The sequence below is a fragment of the Homo sapiens genome, chromosome X, assembly GCF_000001405.40.
Source record: "Homo sapiens chromosome X, GRCh38.p14 Primary Assembly".
Taxonomy (NCBI): Eukaryota; Metazoa; Chordata; class Mammalia; order Primates; family Hominidae; genus Homo; species Homo sapiens.
This window is the reverse complement of record NC_000023.11, coordinates 99,835,527-99,836,845: the sequence shown is the minus strand read 5'-3', so window position 1 is coordinate 99,836,845 and position 1,319 is coordinate 99,835,527. Positions and strand designations below refer to the sequence as shown.

At 47.2% G+C, this 1,319-nt stretch overlaps 1 annotated feature.

Moving 5' to 3' along the window:
- Nucleotides 534-1,035: an enhancer, noted in NCBI's record as "H3K27ac hESC enhancer chrX:99090809-99091310 (GRCh37/hg19 assembly coordinates)". NCBI's record gives its function as "activates a minimal SCP1, AML or CMV promoter by ChIP-STARR-seq in primed H9 embryonic stem cells {active_cell/tissue: H9 hESC(primed)}" and the evidence as "EXISTENCE:reporter gene assay evidence [ECO:0000049][PMID:30033119]".

The following is a 1,319-nucleotide window of genomic DNA, read 5'->3' as shown; positions in this document are numbered from 1 at the left end:
TATGACTCCGAATTGCAGACTTCACAGATCGGGGAAGAACTAAAGCCCTTTTCTTTTGCAGCTGGGAGGCAGGAAGCCTCCGGCAAGTTTTCAAGCCCGACTCACCCTCCACCTAGAAACAGACTCAGGGCTGTTGTGGGGGGCATGGTGGGAATGAGACCAGCCCTTCAGTTTGTATGGGAGCTGGGTGAGGCCTGTGACCACTGGCTTTCCCCCACTTCCCTGACAGCCTACATGACTCAGCAGAAGCAGCCATAATCCTCCTAGGTACACAACTCCAATGACCTGGGAATCTCACCCCCATTCCCCACAGCTGCCGCAGCAAGACCCACCCAAGGAGAGCCTGAGCTCAGACACACCTAGCCCTGTCCCCATCTGATTGTCCTTCCCTACCTACTTTGGTAACGAAAGACAAAGGGCATCTAGTCTTGGGAGTTCTAGGGCCCTGCTCACCACCAGTCCCTCTCCACACTACTACAGCTGATTCTTTCTGGAAAGCAACGCCTCCTGGCAGGAGGCCAACCAGCACAAAAATAGAGCATTAAATCACCAAAGCTAAGAACCCCCACGGAGTCCATTGTACCCTCCACCACCTCCACCAGAACAGGCACTGGTATCCATGGCTGAGAGACCCATAGATGATTCACATCACAGGAGTCTGTGCAGACAACCCCCAGTACCAGCCTGGAGCCGGGTAGACTCACTGGGAGGTTAGACCCAGAAGAGAGACAACAATCATTGCACTTTGGCTCACAGGAAGCCATATCCACAGGAAAAGGGGGAAAGTACTACATCAAGGGAACACCCTGTGGGACAAAAAAATAAGAACAACAGCTTCAGCCCTCAATCTTCGCTCTGACAGAACCTACGCAAATGAGAAGGAACCAGGAAACCAACCCTGGTAATATGACAAAACAAGGCTCATCAACACCCCCCAAAAATCACACTAGTTCACTAGCAATGGATCCAAACCAAGAAGAAATCCCTGATTTACCTGAAAAAGAATTCAGGAGATTAGTTACTAAGCTAATCAGGGAGGGGCCAGAGAAAAGTGAAGCCCAATGCAAGGAAATCCAAAAAATGATACAAGAAGAGAAGGGAGAAATATGCAAGGAAATAGATAGCTTAAAGAAAAAACAATAAAAAATTCAGGAAACTTTGGACACACTTTTAGAAATGTGAAATTCTCTGGAAAGTCTCAGCAATAGAATTGAACAAGTAGAAGAAAGAAATTCAGAGTTCGAAGACAAGGTCTTTGAATTAACCCAATCCAACAAAGACAAAGAAAAAATAATAAGAAAATATGAACAAAGCCTCCA